General features: G+C 36.3%; 1 protein-coding gene across 40 annotated transcripts in view; it reads left to right on the forward strand.

The window, feature by feature from the left end:
* CCDC18 (coiled-coil domain containing 18) overlaps positions 1-22974 on the forward strand; it is a 98818-nt gene that overhangs the window by 13225 nt on the left and 62619 nt on the right. For 20 of the 40 annotated variants that reach the window (XM_017001164.3, XM_017001162.3, XM_011541361.4 and 17 more), the window contains 7 exons: positions 479-607; positions 8755-8851; positions 12373-12494; positions 13970-14261; positions 17665-17789; positions 18964-19124; positions 21606-21829. In XM_017001164.3, coding sequence (XP_016856653.1) covers positions 479-607; positions 8755-8851; positions 12373-12494; positions 13970-14261; positions 17665-17789; positions 18964-19124; positions 21606-21829 — 1150 coding nt within the window. Of the gene's footprint in view, positions 1-478; positions 608-8754; positions 8852-12372; positions 12495-13969; positions 14262-17664; positions 17790-18963; positions 19125-21605; positions 21830-22974 lie in introns of those variants that run through there. The other 20 variants (NM_001306076.1, XM_047419507.1, XM_047419514.1 and 17 more) reach the window with 4 other exon arrangements.

Here is a 22974-nt window from a genome sequence, read left to right on the forward strand (position 1 = left end):
GTAGCTAATGGTATTATCAGCAAATAAAAAAAATTTTGTTTCTGAGTCAAAGAGTAGGAAAAAGAAAGAAAGAAAAAAAATTTTGTCTTTCCTTTTCAGCATTTATACTACTTATTACCTTTTCATATTTGCTTTTTGCAGTGGGTAGAACTGTCAGAAAAGTTGTTGGATGTGGGGGTGATAACAGTCATCTTTATTTAGTTTCTGAACTATACAGGAATGCTTCTGGTATCTGACTATAAAATACGATGTGAGTTATTACTTCAGATATATTTATCATCTGGTGGAAGTATTCTTTTATTCTTTAAAAAACTCTTAATTAACAAGTGATGAATATGCCTTTTTCTCTATCTCTTTTTGTATATTGTTTCTCTTAACTCATTGATTTAAACAAATATAATTCCTAATATTAAATTATTCTTGCATACCTGGGATAATCTCTTTAGTAGTCTTAAACAAAGTATCCTTTATTTTATAGAGAGGCAGAAAATAAGCTGGAACAGAGCCAGAAAATGGTAATTGAAAAGGAACAGAGTTTGCAGGAGTCCAAAGAGGAATGTATAAAATTAAAGGTGGACTTACTTGAACAAACCAAACAAGGAAAAAGGTATGTGTTTTTAAAGCAAATACATGTTTTTGAAAGGGAATAAAAGGAAATATTACCTATTTAAAATTCTAGTTAATTTTTGAAGTGAAAAAATTTCAGAGATTTGGCAATAAATTAACTTAATGTTCTTTTTTATCTATTAATTTTTTTAAATTTTCCATTAAAATGTTTATATGTGGAATTTATGTTATTAGCATCCTGGATTGGGCTTAATTTCTACAAAACTGATAACGATTATCAGTTTAATGATACTTATTTCTGAAATTAAGTTCTATGGCCTATTTGAAACCAGTACACTGAGTTTAAAATACTAACAGGGAAAAAGCCTGTAAATTAATATTACCTCTAATAAAACTAAATAAAATGTTGAATGAACTCTTTAAAAGAAAATTTTGCCTCATAGAGAAAGAAACTCAATGCCTGTGAATGTGTGCTTGGATCTTCCTTTAGAAATATATAAATAGTACAAAAATATCTATTTTGTATAAATTATATCTTGAGATCAAGTCTTTTAAGTAGCTCTGTCCAAGGAACCATTAACTCTGAATGCCAGTTCACTTTTAAACTGATAAAGATTTAAATTTTTTGAGTTTAAACTAATAAGATTTTATAATAAAATAGGATTATAGCAGTTGTTATACAGTATAAAGTCATAATCTGTACTAAGCAATTTTGCAATTTTGCAATTTTGCAATTTGCAATATTGCTTAGTAGAAAATGCGTAGGTTTTGGAGTTAGAAAATTTTTAGATTTTACCTCTCATTGGCTTTGTTACCTTGGCCAAATGATATAACCTTTTGAAATCTCAGGTTTTTTTCATCTGTTAAATAAAGATGATATTATCTTGATATGGATAGAAATGAAGAGTAAATGAAAAAAAGAAATGTACCTCTTAAAAAATACTAACAATTTAACTATTTTATAAACTTTGTGGTTAAATACTCTAGAATTCACACTTCACTTACTCAGATAAGCTTTGCACGTGGTTAGTTAAAATAGTGAGATAATAATACATGAAGACCACATTCACAATATAGCTGCCAAGAAAAAATAAAGAGGAAGAGCTACTAGTTTCCTCTATGCAACTTAGATAAGAGATGACTTTTAGGATAGAGTATTGACTTTGTTGTTGTTGTTGTTGTTTGAGATGGAGTCTTACTCTGTCTCGCAGGCTGGAGTGCAGTGGTGTGATCTTGGCTCACTGCATCCTCCGCCCCCTGGGTTCAAGCAGTTCTTCTTTCTCAGCTTCCTGAGTAGCTGAGATTACAGGCATGCACTACCACACCCAGCTAATTATTGTATTTTTAGTAGAGACTGGGTTTCACCATGATGGTCAGGCTGGTCTCAAACTCCTGACCTCAAGTGATCCACCCTCCTTGGCCTCCCAAAGTGCTGGAATTACAGGCGTGAGCCACTGCGCCTGGCTAAATATTGACTTTGGCTTCACAAAGTGAGTAAGTGGGGGACAGACACATTCTGGGCAGCATGTGCAAAGGTATAGAAGTATAAAAGGGTATTATTGCTGAAGAACTCTTAAGTAATTTTATGTTCTTATAAGTAAATAGGTGTAGTGGGAGATGAGACAAGAAAGACAGGCTGGATCCAGACTGTAAATGGCTTTGTGTGTTATACCAAAGGATTTGTATTTTAACCTGGAAAGCATAAATAGCCAATTGAGATTTTTAGGTAGAGGTATGACATGAAGACTCTTGGAGCTTTTTGAAGAACTAAAATGAATATTGACTTTCTGCTATGGTTTGAATGTGTCCCCCCAATTTTTTGTATTGGAAACTTAATCCCAACGCAACACTGTTGGGAGGTGGGGCATTTTAGAGGTACTTAGGTCACAAGGGCTCTGCTTTCGTGAATGGATTAATGCCATTATAAGAGGGCTTGACAGAGGGAGTTTGTTCCTTTTTTCCTTTCTGTCATGTCAGAATAAAGTGTTCCTCCTCCTTGGAGGATGTAGCATTTAAGGCACCATCTTGGAAGCAGAGAGATTAGGCCCTACCAAACTGCCAGTACCTTGATCTTGGACTTCCCAGCCTCCGGAACTGTGAGAAATACATTTCTGTTTTTTATAAACTACCCAGACTATGATATTTATTCTAGCAGCACAAATAGACTAAGACACATTCTGAGATTGAAAGATCAGAACCTTTTCAAGGACTATTGGGTGGAGAAGATTAATCATAATGGATTAAAAAGCCAGTGTAAAGAAAGGGAGAGATTGTTTAGCTTTATGCTGTTTGTAAGAGATTACCTAAAACATAAGGACACAGAAAAATTGAAAGCAGACTGGATGCGGAGGCTAACACCTGTAATCCTAGCACTTTGTGGGGCCGAGATAGGTGGATCACTTGAGCTCATGAGTTCAGGACCAGCCCGGGCAACATGGTGAAACCCCATCTCTACAAAAAATATAAAAATTAGCCTGGTGTGGTGGCACACGCCTGGAGTCCCAGCTACTCAGGAGGTTAAGGTGAAAGGGATTGCTTGAGCCTAGGAGGCAGAGATTACAGTGAGCCAAGATTGTGCCATTGCACTCCAGCCTGAGTGACAGAGGAAGATTGTGTCTCAAAAAAGAGAAAAAAAGAATGGAAAGAAATGTTTCAGATAAATACTCACCAAAGCAAAGTTGATATTACTATATTAGGATCACACAGAATAGACTTCAGTGCAACAAGCATTACCAACATTAAAATGACTCATATAATGTTTAACACTTAACCAAGAAGATATAAAGACTCTAAACCAGCAAGATATAAAGACTCTAAACTTATATGTATCTAATAATTTAGTCCCAAAATACATAAGAAAAATAACACAATTTCAAGGAGAAAAGAACAAATCTGTAGTCATATGGGGAAAATTCTTTATACATTTATCAGGAATTGTTAAGTAACAAAAAATTAAGGCTTGAAGTGTTGAATAAGACAATTAATATTCTTGATCTAATGGATGTGTATATGGAACCATGTAGTCAACAGTTTGAAATTGACATTCTTTCAAGCAGATGTAATCTGTTACCTCACTATGCTAGAAAGCATGAATTTGAACAAATTCCAAAAGATTGATGTCGTATGTATTATCTTCTGCAACCACAGTTCAGTTAAGTTAGAATATAACTCCTTGAAATCCTGTATGTTTGGAAATGTAAAACCAGGCTTACTGGTGTTCATTGACCTACTGGTGTTCATTGACCATTGAATAAATTAGAAAACCTTTAGAACTGAGTGATATAAAAAATGCACATCACTGCATGTAGGCTGTACCTAAAGACACTCTTAGAGGAAAAAATTTAACCTTATATACATGTATTATATCATGACTGAAAATTAATGAACTGAAATAGACTATTGTGTGGTCAGGAAAAGGAGGACATCAGAAGAAAGAATGAACATCAAAAGAAAATAGAAGTAAGGAAATAATAAAGATAAGGATGAAATGGATGAATAGAAAACAGTGAAACAATATAAAGGATTACCAAAACCTAAATGTGGTTATTTTCACAATGAACAAGAAAATGGGCATCAGACAAGATTAATAAAGGAGAAAAGGCACAAGTGTTGGGATTGGCAAGGGACTCCCAAATTACAGATTTAGCTATAAATCGGTAAGCAATAAGAAATATATAAGAAATAAGGCCAATAACTGAATCATTTTAAAGATGATACATTTGAAAACTTAGACTAAATAAAATTCTCAGCAAAATAAAATTTAACAAAACTAACTTTAAAATAAATGAAAAACCTGAATAAATATATGTGTGTGTGTGTGTACATATATATGTGTGTGTGTATATATATAGCTATTAGGGTTATCAAATCAGTAATTAAAAATCTGCCCACAAATAACTAAACTAGTCAAAACAATGGTGACAAAAGGAAAGGAAACATCAGGCCCACTACAGCCCATGATGACTAAAATGGAAAAGACTCTCAAAAACAAGTTATGGCAAGGATGTGGAATTGAAACTCTCCTGCATTTCTTTTCTTTTCTTTTTTTTTTTTTTTTTTTTTTTTGAGACAGAGTCTCGCTCTGTCGCCCAGGCTGGAGTGCAGTGGCGCGATCTCGGCTCACTGCAAGCTCCACCTCCTGGGTTCATGCCATTCTCTTGCTTCAGCCTCTCTAGTAGCTGGGACTACAGGCGCCCACCACCATGCCTGGCTAATTTTTTGTATTTTTAGTAGAGACGGGGTTTCTCCATGTTAGCCAGGATGATCTCAATCTCCTGACCTCGTGATCCGCCCGCCTTGGCCTCCCAAAGTGCTGGGATTACAGGTGTGAGCCACCGCGCCCGGCCCACTCTCCTGCATTTCTAATGGAAGTGTAAATTGGTAGAACCACTTTGGAAAACTGTTTGTCAGTAGCTGCTAAAGGTAAACATAAGCCTGCCTTATGATCCAGCATTCATTTCAACAAAACTTAGTCCCTGTATTAAAAGACATGTACAAGAATGTTAGAGTAATTTTATTCATTGTTAAATGTTCATCAACAGTGTAATCTATAAACTGTGGTATGTTCACATAATTATACACATCAGTAAAAAAGAGCAACTACAACTATGTAACAACATGGATTATTATCACACATATAATGCTCAGCAGAAGAAGCCAGACACAGTAGAATACTGTATAATTCCATAGCAAATCAAGGATAGGCAAAATTAACATATGTTGTTAAAAGTCCAAATGGTGCTTACCTTTTTGGGGTAAAGAATATTCACTGGGAAGGTACACAGGGGTGCTGGAAGTGTTCTCTATTTGATTGGGTTAGTAGTTAAGTAAGTATACACATTATTATAAACTTCTCTCATTTAGGATTTCTGTACTTTACTCAATAAAAAATTAAAATCAAATAAGAAAAACTATAAGAAAAAATCTACAGAAGATATGTATAGTCTTAATTTTTTTTTAAAGAAATATGGTATTGCTTTGTTACCCAGGCTGGAGTGCAATGCTGTGGTCATGGCTCACAGTAGCTCCCAACTACTGGGCTCAAGTGATCCTCCCACTTCAGGCTCGCAGATAGTTAGGACTACAGGCTTGCCCCACCACACCCGACTAATTTTTAAATTTTTTTTACACATGGGTCTCACTGTGTTGCCCAGGCTGGTCTTGAACTCCTGGGTTCAAGTGGTCCTCTTGCTTTGGCCTCCTAAAGTGCAAGTATTATAGGCATGAGCCACTGTGCCTGGCTTTAATGCATGTTTTAAAATGTATTTGGGGTTTGTTTTAATCAGGTATGGTAAGATACAGACACAGGACTGACATGGAGAAAGAAATTTTTATACTTACAGATTTCTAGAAGTAGGAGGGGCACAATATGCTGTTTTGGGATCCTTGGGGTGTTGCTTCACGAGCCAGAAACCTCTGTGGCCAGTGGCACCTTTGCCCGAGTTTTACTCTGGCCCAGTGGGCTCATTCTGCCCACTCAGCCTGGCAGGCTGCGCTTGGCTCGTGCTACCACCCTGGATCCCACACCTGCCAAGGGTGAGCTAGGTGCAGAATGGCAAGGGGTGTGTGAACGACCATAGGGTCCAGCCACTATACATAGCCAGGCATGCCGGCTGTGGTGGTGTGAGCAGCTCCAGGCGCCAGCACGGGCGCCAGCTCCCTGTGAGGCTGTGGCTGGACCAGGTATAGCATAAGCAGCTTCTGTGGCTGACACCAGGGAACGGGGTGGTACTGGAAGCTTGGAGACACCAGGAACCACAGAGCCCTAAAGAGGGTGTCACAGCCCTGGCTCGGGAAGCTCATAGGTCTGGGCTCCCCTGAAGGGCTGTAGCTCTTCTCTCCTTCTCTTGTCTTTTCTTCTTGTTGCCTGCAACGTAGTGAGCAGGGGGCGTGTTTCAGCCATTTGTGTTACAGCATTTTAAGCCCCACCATTCAGTGGGTCCTGAGTTCTTGTCCTGCATCCAGGAAGAATGAGGTAAGCAAACAAGTGGAGGGTGAGCAAGAGAAGCTCTGTTGAGCGACAGAACAGCTCAGAGGAGACCCACAGTGGGTAGCTCCTCTGAATGGCTACCCCCACCTCATTTGCGTTCTGGTACATGTGGACACAGTCAATGCAGCAGTACCCGATGTCAATTGCCACCTTCACAGCTTCAGTTACCTGGCCCAAGGGGGACTTGCAGGTGCCCAGCCCCAGTATGAGCATCTAGGTGCTGTTGTTGAGCATGAGGTAGCTGGCCGTGGCTGCTGCACTTTACAGACCCCCACCTGGAACTGTCTTATTTTATTTTATTTTTTTTTAGAGATAGGGTCTTGCTCTGTCACCCAGGCTAGAATGCAGTGTTGCGATCATGGCTCACTGCAGCCTCAAACCCCTGCGTTCAAGGGATCCTCCTGCCTCAGCCTCTAGAGTAGCTGGGACTACAGGTGTGCACCACCATGCCCAGTTAACTTTTTGTAGAGACGATCTCACTACGTTTCCCAGGCTGGTCTCTAACATCTGGCTTCAAGCAATCCTCCTGGCTCAGCCTTCTAAACTGTTTGGAATACAGGCGTGAACCACCACACCCAGCACATAACAATTTTAGAGATGTTAAAAATGTGAAAACATGGTAAGACTATAGGAGATTATTTAAAAAAAAAAAAAAAGCGAGAACAGGCTGGACACAGTGACTCACTCCAGTAATCCAAGCACTTGGGGAGGCCAAAGTGCGAGTATTACTTGAGGCCAGGAATTCAAGACCAGCCCGGGCAAAATAGCAAGACCCCACACACACAACAAAAAGTGAAAACAATGTGTCTCTTAGAATAGATGAACTGTGATATATACTATTTGTGGGTGTAGGTTAACATGAATGTACAAAATAAAAAACACCAAAATCAGGATAGGGTTACCTCTGTTGGAAGAAGTCAGGGGAATGGGATTTGGAAGGGACACATAAGGACCTCAACTTTATTTGTAATATTTTGTTTGTCTTCTGTAGCCTTTTCAGACAAAGAGTGAAGATTCATTAAAACGTGATTGGGAGTACATGGTAATATTTATCCAGACTTTTTGATGTGGCTGAAATATGTCATTACTTTTTACAAATTGGAAGTGAGGAAGAGTAGATAAGTGTAAAGCGGATAAGTCTGGCTTGAAAAGAAGGATAATAGAGGAAAGCACAATACGTGGGAAGGTTTTTGTTTGTTTAAGTGAGAAATACAGGTATCCTTTGATCTGAACAGTACCTGTGCACACTCAGGAATTGATTATATTCCTACAGATTTTCAGAGAAGTCCTTTGTTGTCCTTACTTTCCTTTATCTGAAACTTTGGAGTCAAATAGACGTACTTAACCACATAGACTCAGAAAGTTAGGAGTACTTTTACTTGAACTTGTTTATACTTGTGGCAAAATAACCAACAGAGAGAATGAAAATACAGAAGCTAGAGTGTATTTCTGAAGGGTTAAGAGTTAAGATCTAGACTATAAATAGAGTAATTCACCCTGGATAAGAGGAGGGTCACTAACCTCACTTACATTAGAAAGAATATGATGGGAATAGGTTTAAATATTAAAATATTTTTAGGTGTGAGAGTGATATTGACCAAATATTCTCAATGTATTGTGCCCCAAATTTTCATTTCATTGCAAGAAGCATAAGGAACTAAGAGATGAGGCAACAAGGTTCGGCTTAAAGAGTGGTTGGTGGTGGTTGTGTTTTTTGTTGTCTAGATTTTTATATCTGGTATCAATAGAAGTTACCATTTTTTGAAATAACTATTTGAAATTTATTTGACCTTTGCAAAGGTCACAGAATTTACTGAGTATATTTAATATTCTAGACAATAGACTGATTCTGTAATACCTAACCTTTGAAAATGTATCATCCAGCCTCAGGCTATTTCCCTAATCTGTCTTTTCCAGATAGGGAAAAAAAAAATTGCCAACACATAAGAATTTATATATATTTCGACATTTATGTTTATTATTGTTTTGTGTTTTATTTTTCATATTGATAGAGTGAGAAAATTTTTGTAGTATGATCTACATTCTTCATTTTATACTTTAAGCCTAATACTCCTTTTTAGTGCAGAGAAATTTGTTTCTCTCCAATTATTCCTTATAATTAAAGATTACTTTGGAACTTAACTCTTCAAATGCAGAGCATTCTTCACTTTTATTCATTATCTCTTTTTAAATTTTAGAGCTGAACGACAAAGGAATGAAGCACTATATAATGCCGAAGAGCTGAGTAAAGCTTTCCAACAATATAAAAAAAAAGTGGCTGAAAAACTGGAAAAGGTAAAAGGCAGTTGTGCAAATTCAGTGTTTTGTATTACTGTCTATATTCCAACAGTAAAGGTAGGAATAATTAAAATATGTTTATGGTTGAGACAGAGAGTAATTTTTATGATCTTACAAAATCATTTAAATAAACAATTTGTAAATGTTAGTTAAGGATGATGTTCACCAACCCTTTTATTATCAGGAGAAACTTTTTTATCCAAAGAGGGAAAAGAGTAGAGAGAGGAGAAGGAACAAAATACAGAGAAGGATGGAATGTGTTAACAGAGACTGGAGCTAAAGAAGTAGAAAAAAGAAATTCATTTTTATCACTTCAATGAAAATGAAGATAGATTATGTAGCTTTCAACTGGTCTCCCTCAGTCTGCTACTCTGAGAGGGGCTTGCTTCTGCCTCTCGGAAGGTTCCTTGAACTGATTTGATATAGAAATAATAGTGAGTTTATTACATTCATTTATTATATTCATTTATTATCTTTAAGTAATATCACATGGTAATGAAATGTGTATGGAGGAACACCACAGTTGGATATTCAGATATTGAGCTCAAAAGAGAGGTCTGGTAAAGAGATACTAATATGGGAGACTTCCATCTTGAGATAGCAATGAAAGCAGAGGAAGTTTATGATTCTGATCCAAGAAAGGTAGAAAGGCAGAGGAAGGAATGTTCAGGTAGAAGGGTAGAGTAAGAAGATGGGTGTTCATTTATTAAACAATCATGAAATTCCTTTTACATGCCAGGTACTGTGCTAGTCTCTGGGAGATTCGGTGATACATAACACATGATACCTATCCTAAAGAGCTCACTGTCTAGTAAGATTGACAAGTATGTAAACAAATAATTTCAGTATTTTGGAATAAGTATAATATAGAAATAAGAGGTAGGTGTGGTAGGGTGGGTGAAGGTGGCAGTGGTTAATAAACTCTGGTGGGCCCAAAGAAGGCTTCACAGAGTAGGCAATGCTTGAGCTGCTAGGCTATCTCAAAGATTGTGATATATCTTTGAACAGTGTTAACCAGGGAAAATGATCAAAATCTATGTTCTAGGAAGCTCACCCTGATGTCATGTGAAGATGCATTTGAGAGGTGAGAGACAAGTCAAGGAGACTTTAAAAGACAAGGCAAGAGATATTGAAGATGAAGGAGCTGAGTAGGTAGCTATGAGGGATGTTAAAGTTGGGGAATCAGTGGGATCTAGTGACCACTTGAATGCATTAGAAGCGGGCAGTATGAGAAAGAAGAATATAGGATATTTTTAGGTTGCTGGTTTGAGTGACTGCTGGATGATTGCATCATGAATCAAAATAGACAGTTTAAGAAAAAAAGTTAATGAGTTCTATTTTGGAAATGTCTGTAGAATATCCAGTTATAGGTAGGCTTTTGTATCTATAGGTCTGGATTTAGACATACAAATCTGTACTAGGGCTGTAGTTTTGAGAATTAACAGTACTGAATTAAAGTGGTAGAAGCCTTGGACATTGACAGAGTTCATATAGAATGAGAACAAGATGAAAGATACCCTGGGAGATAAAGAACAGGTAGATTAGCTTTTGAAAGATATCGAGAAGTGATTTAAAAAAATTAGAGAATCAGGAAAGTATAATAAGAAAAGCCAAGGTGATAGAACATTTTAAAAAGAAGGTGGTGATCTTCAGTGCCAGATGTTGCAAATTGGTCAAGAAGAATGAGGACTGAACCAGGTGTGGTGGCTTATGCCTGTAATTCCAGCTACTCAGCAGGCTGAGGTAGAAGGATTGCTTGAACTCAGGAGTTAGAGGCTGCATTAAGCCATGATAATGCCACTGCACTCAGGCCTGAGTGAAAGAGCAAGACCCTGTCTGTAAAAAATCAGAAAAAAAAAATTTAGAAAGATGAGGAACAAGACAGGGCTATTGGTTTTTATAATCAGGGAGTCATTGGATACTTTGTAGAGAGCAACTTATTAAAGTAGAAGGCACAACCTCTGAAATGGGAGAAATGGAAAGGGAGGGGGTAGAGGTAGCTAACAGACAATTCTTTACATACGGTAGGTGAAGAGGAAATAAGTGTGTGTGGTGGGTTGGGAGAGGCAGCGAATGGAAGGGTAGAAAGAAGCTAAGTTAAGGTGAAGAAGCTGTGGTAAAGCACCTAAGGGTATCCTGAACATATTAGTAGGGGGAGATTGAAGATGCTAGAATTATAAGGAATAAAAGATGGCACAAGGGTCTGAATGATATGCAAGATGATAGTCCAAGAGCAGAAGTGAGATTCTTTTTTTTAATGAAATAGGACATTTCTTTATGGGAAAAAAGTGGATAAAAACAGAAAAAAGTTTTAGGTGGAAGGAAATTGAACGATTTTGAATTAAATGTCTTTGGTCTCATAAATTAAGATGTTGCTTAAGTGATTTTCATAGCGTAAGGAGGATAGGAGGGATTTTGGAAACTTGGGGTGAGTATTTCTCATAATATATTTGCAATAAGGAAAGCCAAGAAATTTGCTAAACTTTTGAGAGAATATATGGAAAGAAAAGAGCAGTCAGGAATGATGAGTTAATAAAAGGAAGCAAGGAAAACAAGAGTGGCCAGAGTCAAGTGTAATATTATCATGACAGCTACATGATAAAATATTTTAGAGGAGAAGTTACCAACAATATTAAATACTGAGATCAAGGAGAAAGTCTGCAGTTGATTACAAAGTGGTCATTCCTTTGCAGTAAAACTGTGAGTATCACTTGGCAGTGTAAAATATTAAGGTCTCACTAGGTACTGAAATCTTTTTTTTTTAAATTTTATTATTATTATACTTTAAGTTTTAGGGTACTGAAATCTTAAGTGTGAATTAGTTAATCAGAACGCTGTTTTGAGAGCTAAAGAGGGTCCTTGTGGGAATGAAATATCTTAGAAGGGATTTTTAATAAGGTGATCAGTAAGGGGAGGTAGAAGACCTAGTAGGAGGAATATGCTTGGGGAGAAGAAGGACTTTATGGAGAAGGAGAGAAGAATGTAAGAGACAGGTTTTGTTTTTTTACACTTAGGATTATCAATTGCAAACAATGCTCAGCAAAGCCCTATAGTTAGGTGGATGTAACAGGGTAACAAAGGAATTGGGGCAGATCTACCCAATCTTCTCCTCTCAACAGTGTATCTTGGGTGCTTTTTTCTGTTCTACATTTTGGGCTGTGGTTTCGTTGGTAAATTTTGTGGTTCAAATTTCAAAAGTAACTTCTCTGGAATATTTGCACTGAAATTAACCTTTAGTAACTCGGACGCAGCAGCTGTAGATGAATTTTTGACTTCAGTTGATGCAATTGCCTATCTGTTACAGGTTTTCTGGACAGGTAGTAGTGTCTTTTTCTCTGTCCTTTGCTACTGCCCAGGAACTTCACTTTGCTTCTTTTCACTACAAGGCTGGGGACTTAAATGTATGAAATTCTTAGTCTACTCTCCTGCTTATTTCTGAAATCACTACTGACATTTTTAGCTTGAAACACCTAAAACTTACAACCACATTAGTATGTCCACTTAAATTATTGTTTTAGGTTCAAGCTGAAGAAGAAATATTAGAGAGAAATCTAACTAACTGTGAAAAAGAAAATAAAAGGCTACAAGAAAGGTGTGGTCTATATAAAAGTGAACTTGAAATTCTGAAAGAGAAATTAAGGTACAGTATTCTGTTGTAGAAAAAGGATTTTTGTGTGGACATGGAAAAAACTGAAACACTTTAAAACACAATATTTTATTGTTGTAATTATAGGCTTACATTATATAGAAGGATAGGCTTCATGACTGAAACTGTTTTCTAGCTATAGAGTTAGAATTAGAAGTGAAGTAAAATGTGTTAATGCTAATAATATTTGTAAATACGGAGACATACTGATCAACATATTTGCTTTGCATATATTTAGAGAAAATTAATAGATATAATGTCCTTGATGTATAACCACATTAACTCACTAGTAAAATGTGTATAATATCCGATGTTCTAAAAAAAAGTGTTTTTCAAATCATAAAAAATTACCTAGTCCAGACTTCTCATTTTATAAGTAAACAGAAGCCCCGAGAGTAGCCAGAATTTACTGAAGGTCTGAAAGATCGAAGTCTTCTGACTCCAATGCTCTCTTTTAGTACATCATGTTGTCCTCTCAAAACTAACACCCATCAACTTTCAGAGGTTAATATTAACCAGTCTTTATCACTTCAAACTGTTAATTTAAAAAAAAGGGGGAGCAGGAAGCAATCAATGACTGATTTGTCTAATTTTGCCATACTTTCCTTAAGGTAGTCTGTTTAGTATTTTTGCCAAGGAGGAGGAAGTAAAGATACTTTTTACTAGAGTATTTTTTAGAATCGGTTATCGATTGCAAGATATACTTTTAAGAAAGAAAGATGCTGCCAATTACACTATGATGCAATCCTTTATCACTTAAAATTTTTATACTTCATGAAAGAATTCTTGTATTTGTAATTAGATATGATTTCTTAAGTCGTTATTTTCATATTTTTCAAAAAAGTTATTCTCATATTTCAAATATAAGTGAAATAAATTGGTTAAGATATTTTTAAAACTTCACATTTGGAGTCTAACCCTCTAAAATGTCTAAGTTTTTCCTCACAGTATCTCCCAGTGTGCCATTAAGACTTGTTGATGCAGTATTTCTTAAAAGAATCCTTGTAAGAACAGAAAGTCATTGATGCTGGGCTCTTAAGCTGGTTGTACAATTATGTAGAGCCAGTTTACTTTTTCTCCTGTTTTAGGAATCCAAAACTTTGTTGATAATGTGAAATGCTATGTCAGGGATTTTGAAGTTAGATTTCCTGTCTTATATAATTAAACAGGGAGCAGAAATGCTTTTAAGACAGTAGGGCTGTCCTTCCCTACCATTTACTGTGAGACACTAGGAAAGTTATATAACCTTTTTGTGCCTCAGTTACCTCATCTGTAAATAAGAAGTAATAATAGTGCCAACCATATAAAGTTGTGAGTGCCTGGCATGCAGAAAGTAGGTATTTAGTAAATGTGAGCAGGTATTATTTTAGAATTAAGCTTCAAAAAATTTTAAAAGTGAGATTAAATAAATATGATTAAAATGAATGCATATATATTTTATTTTCATTTTTATTCTCTTTTCTTCATAGGCAGTTAAAAGAAGAAAATAACAACGGAAAAGAAAAATTAAGGATCATGGCAGTGAAAAATTCAGAAGTCATGGCACAACTAACTGAATCTAGACAAAGTATTTTGAAGCTAGAGAGTGAGTTAGAGAACAAAGACGAAATACTTAGAGACAAATTTTCTTTAATGAATGAAAACCGAGAATTAAAGGTCCGTGTTGCAGCACAGAATGAGCGACTAGATTTATGTCAACAAGAAATTGAAAGTTCAAGGGTAGAACTAAGAAGTTTGGAAAAGATTATATCCCAGTTGCCAGTAAGTATGTGTGATTACGTAATGGAAAAGAAGAATTTTACTAAAGTGTTTTAGAAAAGACTATCATTTTGTGGTTGCTTTATTAGCTTCTAATTTCTTTTTCTCTATACTTTTAGTCATGAATTTCTCTTCTGTCTAAATCTCTATTTTTTTTCCTGCACTTACCATTCTACACTTTTCCCCAGTTTCTCAGATGCCATATATAAGAATGGCACAGAATTTTTTTTAAACAGCTTTGTTGAAGTATCATTTATATACCATAAAATTTGCCTGTTTTAAGTGTACTAATCTATGATTTTTAGTAAATTTATAAGTTTTGTAACAATCACCATGATCCAGCTTTGAAACATGTCTGTCATCCCCAAAAGGTATTTTGGACCCATTTATAATTAGTCCCTGTACTCACTTCTACCCCTAGGAAGACACTAATAGTTTTTGCATCTGTAGATTTGTCTTTTCTGGACATTTCACATAAATGAACTCGTATAATATGTGCTCTTTTGCACCTGGTCTTTTGCATTCTTAGAGTCGTTCATGTTGTGATATCAGTATTTCATTTCTTTTTATTGCTAAATAGTATTTCATTATATAGATATGTTATATTTTGTTTATCCATTCACTGGCTGATGGACATTTGGATTGTTTCCACTTTGGGATATTATGAATAATGCTGCTATGAACGTTTGCATACAAGTCTTTGGACATGTTTTCATTTCTCTTGGGTAGATACCTAGGAGTAGAATTCTTGGGTCATATGGTGAATTTATTCCAAACTGTTTTCCAAAATGTCTACACTATTTTACATTCTCACCAGCAATGTATGAGGGTTCCTGTTTCTCCACTTCCTTGCCAACACTTGTTCTTGTCTGTCTCTTTTATTATAACCATCTTAGTGGGTGTGAAGTGGTATCACATTGTGGTTTTTCTTTTTTTTTGTTTGTTTGTTTTTTTGACGGAGTCTCTCACTCTGTTGCCCAGGCTGGAGTGCAGCAGCATGATCTCAGCTCACTGCAACCTCCACCTCCCAGGTTCAAGCAATTCTCCTGCCTCAGCCTCCCTAGTAGCTGGGACTACAGGCACAAGGGACGGGGTTTCACCACATTGGTCAAACGGGTCTCGAACTCCTGACCTCATGATCAACCCACCTTGGCCTCCCAAAGTGCTGGGATTACAGGCGTGAGCCACCATGCCTGGCCCTAATTTACATTTTTTTTAATGGCTCATGATGAGCAACTTTTCATGTACTTATTAGAATGGCATAGAACTTAAAATTTTTTTTCTTTTTTTGAGATGGAGTCTCGCTTTGTCGCCAGGCTGGAGTGCAGTGGTGCCATCTTGGCTCATCGCAACCTCTGCCTCCCGGATTCAAGCGATTTTCCTGCCTTATCCTCCCAAGCAGCTCAAACTATAGCACGCACCACCATGCCCATCTAATTTTTGTATTTTTAGTAGAGACGGGGTTACACCATGTTGGCCAGGATGGTCTTGATCTTTTGAATTCGTGATCCCCCTGCCTTGGCCTCCCAAACTGCTGGGATTATGGGCGTGAGCCACCATGCCCGGCCTTTTATTTTTTTGAAACGAAGTTTCACTCTTGTTGCCCAGGCTGGAGTGCAATGGCGAGATCTTGGCGCACTGCAACCTCAGCCTCCTGGGTTCAAGCGATTCTCCTGCCTCAGCCTCCTGAGTAGCTGGGATTACAGGCATGTGCCACCATGCCCAGCTAATTTTGTATTTTTAGTAGAGACAGGGTTTCTCCATGTTGGTCAGGCTGGTCTCGAACTCCCAACCTCAGGTGATCTGCCTGCCTTAGCCTCCCGAAATGCTGGGATTACAGGCATGAGCCACCACGCCTGGCCTAAAATGTTTTTATAATAATGGTCTACCACCTTTTCTCTTTTAGTAATATTTGTGACCATATATATAAATGAGATTAAGAAGAAGGTAAGTAAACCTATTCAGGAATTTGTAATCAATAGGTGTAAAATGAAGGAAAGATCAGGGGAAACTATAGGTAAATATATTATGGTTGGTTTCAGATATGAATGTATGGTAGACTAGATGGTAGACTTACCAATGTTAAACTGTTATGAACTGTGGAATTATGAACCAAAAAAATCTCAGAAATCATCTGATTCAATACTATTTTATTGGTGAAGAAACCTAGACCCAAGAAAGTAAATAACTTGCCCAACTGGTAAGTAGTAGAATTTAAACTAGAACATAAGATCTTAGCTCCTCTGATATCTGCTTTCCCAGGATGCTGTTTATTTGCTTGGATTTTTAATGTACTGTTTGCTTTTGAAATTAGAAAGTAATCATATACAGATAACAATTTTAATTTGGCATTCTCATTTGTGTATCAAGAATTATTTCATATATGGTCAGGCACAGTGGCTCCTGCTTGTAATCCCAGCATTTTGGCAGGCCAAGGTGAGAGGAACTCTTGAAGCAAGAGTTCAAGACCAGCTTGGGTAATACAGTGAGACCCTGTCTCTACAAAAATGCAAAAATTAGCTGGGCATGGTGGCGCATGCCTGTGGTCCTAGCTACTCGAGAAGCTGAGGTAGGAGGATTGCTTGAGTCCAAGAGTTCGAGGCTGCAGTGAGCTCTATGATCATAAGCTCCAGTCTGGGTGACAGAGTGAGACCCTGTCTCTCAAAAAAGAATCATTTGAGATATGATTCCGAATGTGGTAATGTATGCTTGATCGTTTGTTTCTTGTAGTGCTAAGAATGACACGATTAGAAAATGTGATTTTTTTCTACTTCTAGGAGGTGTGATTCGGTTATAGTTTGAAGGTAGAAGTCATTAAATGCTAACCTTGCTCCTTTTTATAACTGTCTTTTAAAATTCTGTATTATCCAAACATACAGAAAGGTGCATATGCTAGTGTAGCACCTTATTTGTAAAATTTGGGACACATATTGTCTTATCAACTCTATGTTTTTTTAGAATAAAATTTTACAGGTAAATCTTCTTTGTGTACCTTGTCAGATCCCAATTATCTTCCTCTCTCCTCAGAAATGGCAATTATTCTGAAATTCATGTGTATCCTTCTCGTCCATGTTTTAAATATTGTCACATATCGATGCATCTAGAAATATATATATGTTGCTTAGTGTTTTTATGAAAATACTGTTTGCCACTATAATTTGTTTTTCACTCAATATTGTTATGAGATGTATCCATACTGATTTATGTGACTCAGGTTTATTTCTTTTAACTATTGTAGTTTTCCAATTATCTTAATATTTCTTAATGTATTTATATATTCTCCTATTGATGGACATTAAGTTGTTTCCATTAAATTCATACAGTTTTTAAAATTTGAAGTTCTGAATAAAAAAGCAAATGCATCTCATTTACATAAGTTTACATATGTTTGTTTTTAAACTTGCAGTTAAAAAGAGAATTATTTGGCTTTAAATCATATCTTTCTAAATACCAGATGAGTAGCTTCTCAAACAAGGAAGACCGTTGCATTGGCTGCTGTGAGGCAAATAAATTGGTGATTTCGGAATTGAGGTACAATTTTCAGATTCTGCAGTTATAGCAAATAGAATGTTTTTTATTGGTAATTAAGACCCTTAATTGGCCGGGCATGGTGGCTCATGCCTGTAATCCCAACACTTTGGGAGGCTGAGGCAGGCGGATCACGAGGTCAGGAGTTCGAGACCAGCCTGACCAACATGGTGAAACCTCGTCTCTACTAAAAATACAAAAATTAGCCAGGCATGGTGGTGGCACGCGCCTGTAATCCCCACTACTTGGGAGGCTGAGGCAGGAGAATCACTTGAACCCGGGAGGCGGTGGTTGCAGTGAGCTGAGATAGTGCCACTGCACTCCAGCCTGAGCAACAGAGTGAGACTCCATTAAAAAAAAAAAAAAAAGACCCTTAATTGAGGAATTTAAAAAATATACAGAAAAGCTCAGAGAATATTATAACAGGTATCTGTGATTCCACAACTAAGAATTGAATCTTCTTAACCAGGATTGATTCTCCTTAAAATTTGTGGTATTTGTTTTAAATCTGTTTCTCCAAATAAAAAATAAAACATTACAGGATGAATAATGCCCTTTGATCCTTATGACTAGTCCCATTTTTCCCCTAAGTATCCACCATCATGAATTGGATATATATTTCTCTATTCATTTTTGTATGTTTACACACATGTACACAAATATGTACCGTATACTGTGTGCAATTTTGCTTTTTCACTCAGCAGTATTTAAAAAATTCATTCATATTGAGATAGAGTAGATTAACAAATGGATTTGTGTAATTACTTTTAATAGCTGTATAGGATTCTGTCCTATAACAGTGTCATAATTTATTTGTTCCTTTATAGGTATCTTGTTTCTGTTTTCTGTTACAAACAGTGCTGCAAAGGACATCCTTGTACATGTTTTCTTATACATATATATGAGAGTTTCTGTAGTATATATTCCTAACAGTGAAATTGCTGGGTCATACAGTGTGTACATTTTCAATTTTACTAAATACCATCAAGTTTGTAAAGTGGCTGAACCAATTTATAATTCTACAGTGGTATATGGGAGTTTTCATATCCTGCCTAAAGAGTTGACTAATATTAGAATTCTAATTTTTTAAATCAACTTGAAAGGTGAAAAATAGTACAGTATGAGTTTTTTTATAGAATCTTTCTAATAATTTTTCCCTTCTTTTCTTTTGTGCCAGAATTAAGCTTGCAATAAAAGAGGCAGAAATTCAAAAGCTTCATGCAAACCTGACTGCAAATCAGTTATCTCAGAGTCTTATTACTTGTAATGACAGCCAAGAAAGTAGCAAATTAAGTAGTTTAGAAACAGAACCTGTAAAGCTAGGTGGTCATCAAGTAGGTAAGTATATTGAGTTATTTTAATAAATTATATTCAGAGTTTTGGATGATAGTTTTTTTTTAAAAAAACTTTTATTTAAATTTTTTTTTTAATTTAAGTTCAGGGATACATGTGCAGATTTGTTACATAGGTAAGCTTGTGTCATGGAGGTTTGTTTTACAGATTATTTCATCACCCAGGTATTAAGCCTAGTACCCCTTAATTATTTTTCCTGATCTACTCCCTCCTTCCACCCTCCACCCTCTGATAGACCCCAGTATGTGTTGTTCCCCTCTATGTTTCCATGTGTTCTCAGATGATAGTTTTTAAAGAACAAATTTATCAACTGTTTGGTTTCTATTATCAAACATACTTGATAATCTGTTACTAGTTGTGGTCTGATAAGACAGCAAAAGTTATTTCAGAATTATTAGACTTTGTATCATTCGTTAATGAAGTAAAATTGATATCCAATAGAACAGTGGTCCCCAACCTTTTTGGCACCAGGGACTGGTTTTGTGGAAGACATTTTTTCCATGGACCAGGGACAGGGTCAGGGTTGGTTTCAGGATGATTCAAACGCATGACATTTATTGTGCAATTTATTTATATTATTATCATATTGATGTTGAAATAATTATACAACTCATCGTAATGTAGAATCAGTGGTAGCCCTGACCTTGTTTTCCTGCAACTAGAAGGTTCCATCTGGGGGTCATGGCAGACAGTGACAGATCATCAGGCATTAGATTCTCATAAGGAGTGAGCAGTCTAGATCCTGCGCATGTGCAGTTCATAATAGGGTTTGTGTTCCTGTGGGAATCTAATGCTGCCGCTAATCTGACAGGAGGTAGAGCTCCAGCAGTAATGCGAGCGATTGGGAGTGGGTGTAACTACAGATGAAGCTTTGCTCATTCGCCTGCCACTCACCTCCTACTATGTGGCCCAGTTCCTAATGGGCCATGGACTGGTACCAGTCCGTGGCCCAGGGGTTGGGGACCCCTGCAGTTAAGATGCACCCATTTTAATATACAGTTTGATACGTTTTGTCAGGTGTTTGTGTTTTAATGTTTAACTCTTGTTACCATCACCACAGTCAAGACATAAGACATCTCCACCAGGATCCTTTGTACTTTTTCCCAGTTAACTTTTAGGCTTAATTTTCTCTCTTTTTTTTTTTTTCCAAAAAAACCACAAAACTTTTCTTAAAGTTTAGATTATTGATTTTAGACCTCTTTTCTTTTCTCATCTAAGTATTTAAGGATAGAAACTTCCCTTTAAGCGGTGCTTTGGGTGTATTCCACTACTTTTTTTAATGTGTTGTATTTTCATTTTCATTCAGTTCAAAATAGTTATCTCTTGTGATTTCCTCTTTGACTCATAGGCTGTGTGTGTTTTATTTCCAAATATTTGGAGGTTTTTCCAGATATTTTTGTGTCATTCATGATGATCAGAGAACATACTGTATAGGACTTCATTTTTAAGAATGTTTTGAGATTTGGTTTATTGTCCAGCGTATGATCTATCTTGGTGAATGTTCCAAGTTGAGAATACTAGTAATTAGAGGTGGTAATAAATATAATATGTTATAGATTCTTTTACATCAAGAACAGAGCCAATAAAAAGTAAATAGCCTAGAAAGTGAAATATTATAGATGTAGAGAATTTATGAGAAATGGCTACTGATGCAAATCTTGAAGGCAAAGTGTATCTTGTTTCCACATCTGTGTGTTCTCATGTAATCATCTACATTATGCTTTTTAAAAGCACTTCTGAAGGCTTACTTACCTTGGAGTGGGAGATGTGTATGTTTATAGTGGAGAAGGGGCATGGTCAAGTAACTACCTCTGATAACCCTCAGTAATTTTTTTGAGACAGGATCTTGCCATGTTGCCCAGGATGGTCTTGAATTGGGCTCAAGTGATCCTCACACCTCAGCCTGTTGAATAGCTCAGATAACAGGTGCCACTGTGCCTGGCTACCCTCAGTAATTTTTTTTAAAGCATCACTGAATTCTCATTAGCTAGTTTGGAGAGAAAGACGATGGGGTCGGGAAGGATTCACTCTTTGGAGCTTTTGAACCTGCTTCTGTGTGCAGTACATAAAAATGTTCTTAATGATCTCAAACTGTCCAAATAAATTTTATGATTACCTTCAGTTTAAGGAAACAGGGCAACTTAAAAAAAATTTTTACAATGATTTCTATTAAAAAATGGAATTTAAAAGGTGGAGAAGGATTCTTACATTTCTGGTACAAAGGAATAGTCTTAGCTACCTAGAAAAATGAGTGATTCAGAACTTTTCTCCTCTTTGTTACGTATTTAATTTAGAGAGCACATTACTTATTCTTTGATTTCCTTAATGAATGTCTCATTCTCTGTCCCTTTTAGTACTCTTTAGATCAGAAACTAAACTTTGTTTATGACTAAATCTTTCAACTATTTAAGTAGGTTTTTATTCTTGAAGTCCTATTCAGAACAATTTTCCTTTTATGTTTATTAGCAGAAAGCGTAAAAGATCAAAATCAACATACTATGAACAAGCAATATGAAAAAGAGAGGCAAAGACTTGTTACTGGAATAGAAGAACTACGTACTAAGCTGATACAAATAGAAGCTGAAAATTCTGATTTGAAGGTTAACATGGCTCACAGAACTAGTCAGTTTCAGCTGATTCAAGAGGAGCTGCTAGAGAAAGCTTCAAACTCCAGCAAACTGGAAAGTGAAGTAAGCTTGGAATTAGCTTGGTATATATGTTAATTTTTGAACTAGAACAAAAGGTATTATTTTAGGGTTTTATAAAAATTATATGTTTACATCCAGATTTAAAGTTTTTAAAAAATGGTACCACATAAGTTATAAATTGTTTTAAAATTATATTTGGAAACCTTTGTATTTTAACTTATTAAAAGTTAAAGTTATTAAAAGTAGGAAAAACTGTAGTGGGTAAAAGTCTCAAATTTGGTGGAAATAATATTGCATTGCAGCCTATTATTTCTTCCATAGTATAAGTTAATATGGTTAATATACATTTATAAATAAAGACTTTGGATTATGCTGTTGGAAGAAAAGGAGTGATAATAAAGGATTTCAAATTTTAGCAAACCCCAAACCACCTAGGAAGCCTGTTTAATATGCATATTTCTGGGTCCTGTTCCAGCAATTTCTGATTCAGTATATATGGGCACAAGAGTCTGCTTTTTTCTTTTCTTTTTCTTTTTTTTTTTTTTTCTTAGAGACAGGGTCTTGCTCTGTTGCCCAGTCTGGAGTGTGGTGGTGTGATCATAGCTCACTGTAGCTTTGAACTTCTAGGCTCAAGCCATTCTCCTGCCTCAGTCTTCCAAGTATTTGAGACTGCAGGCATGTGTCACTATGTCCAGCTAAGTTTTTTTATTTTTTATTTGTAGAGACAGTCGCTGTGTTGCCCAGGCTTGCCTCGAACTCCTGGTTTCAGGTGATCCCCACCTCAGTATCCCAAAATGCTGGGATTACTGGTGTGAGCCACCACACCTAGCCGGAATCTGTATTTTTATTTTTTGTGTATTTCTGCTGTTTAAAGAGTCTGTATTTTTAAACAACTGCATGTAAACCTGAAACAACTACGCAAGGAATTACATTCTGAAAAGGGGATAATGAGTGTTTTGTGAATATCTTGTCTTCATTTTCACTGAGGACAGGATAAGGGTGCCTCATTAGGTAATTGTGGACCAGGACCACATGTGTATATCTTATACTCGATCTTCAAACCAGAGGCTGCAGTCATCTATAGGTACACTTTTTAAATACCTGCTTTCTCAGCTTAAAGTCTATAGCCAAGGCTGAGGAAAAAGAACTATAAGATAGGAACTTATGTTAATAATGAAGATGGAGAT

The sequence above is a fragment of the Homo sapiens genome, chromosome 1 (assembly GCF_000001405.40).
Source record: "Homo sapiens chromosome 1, GRCh38.p14 Primary Assembly".
NCBI lineage: Eukaryota > Metazoa > Chordata > Mammalia > Primates > Hominidae > Homo > Homo sapiens.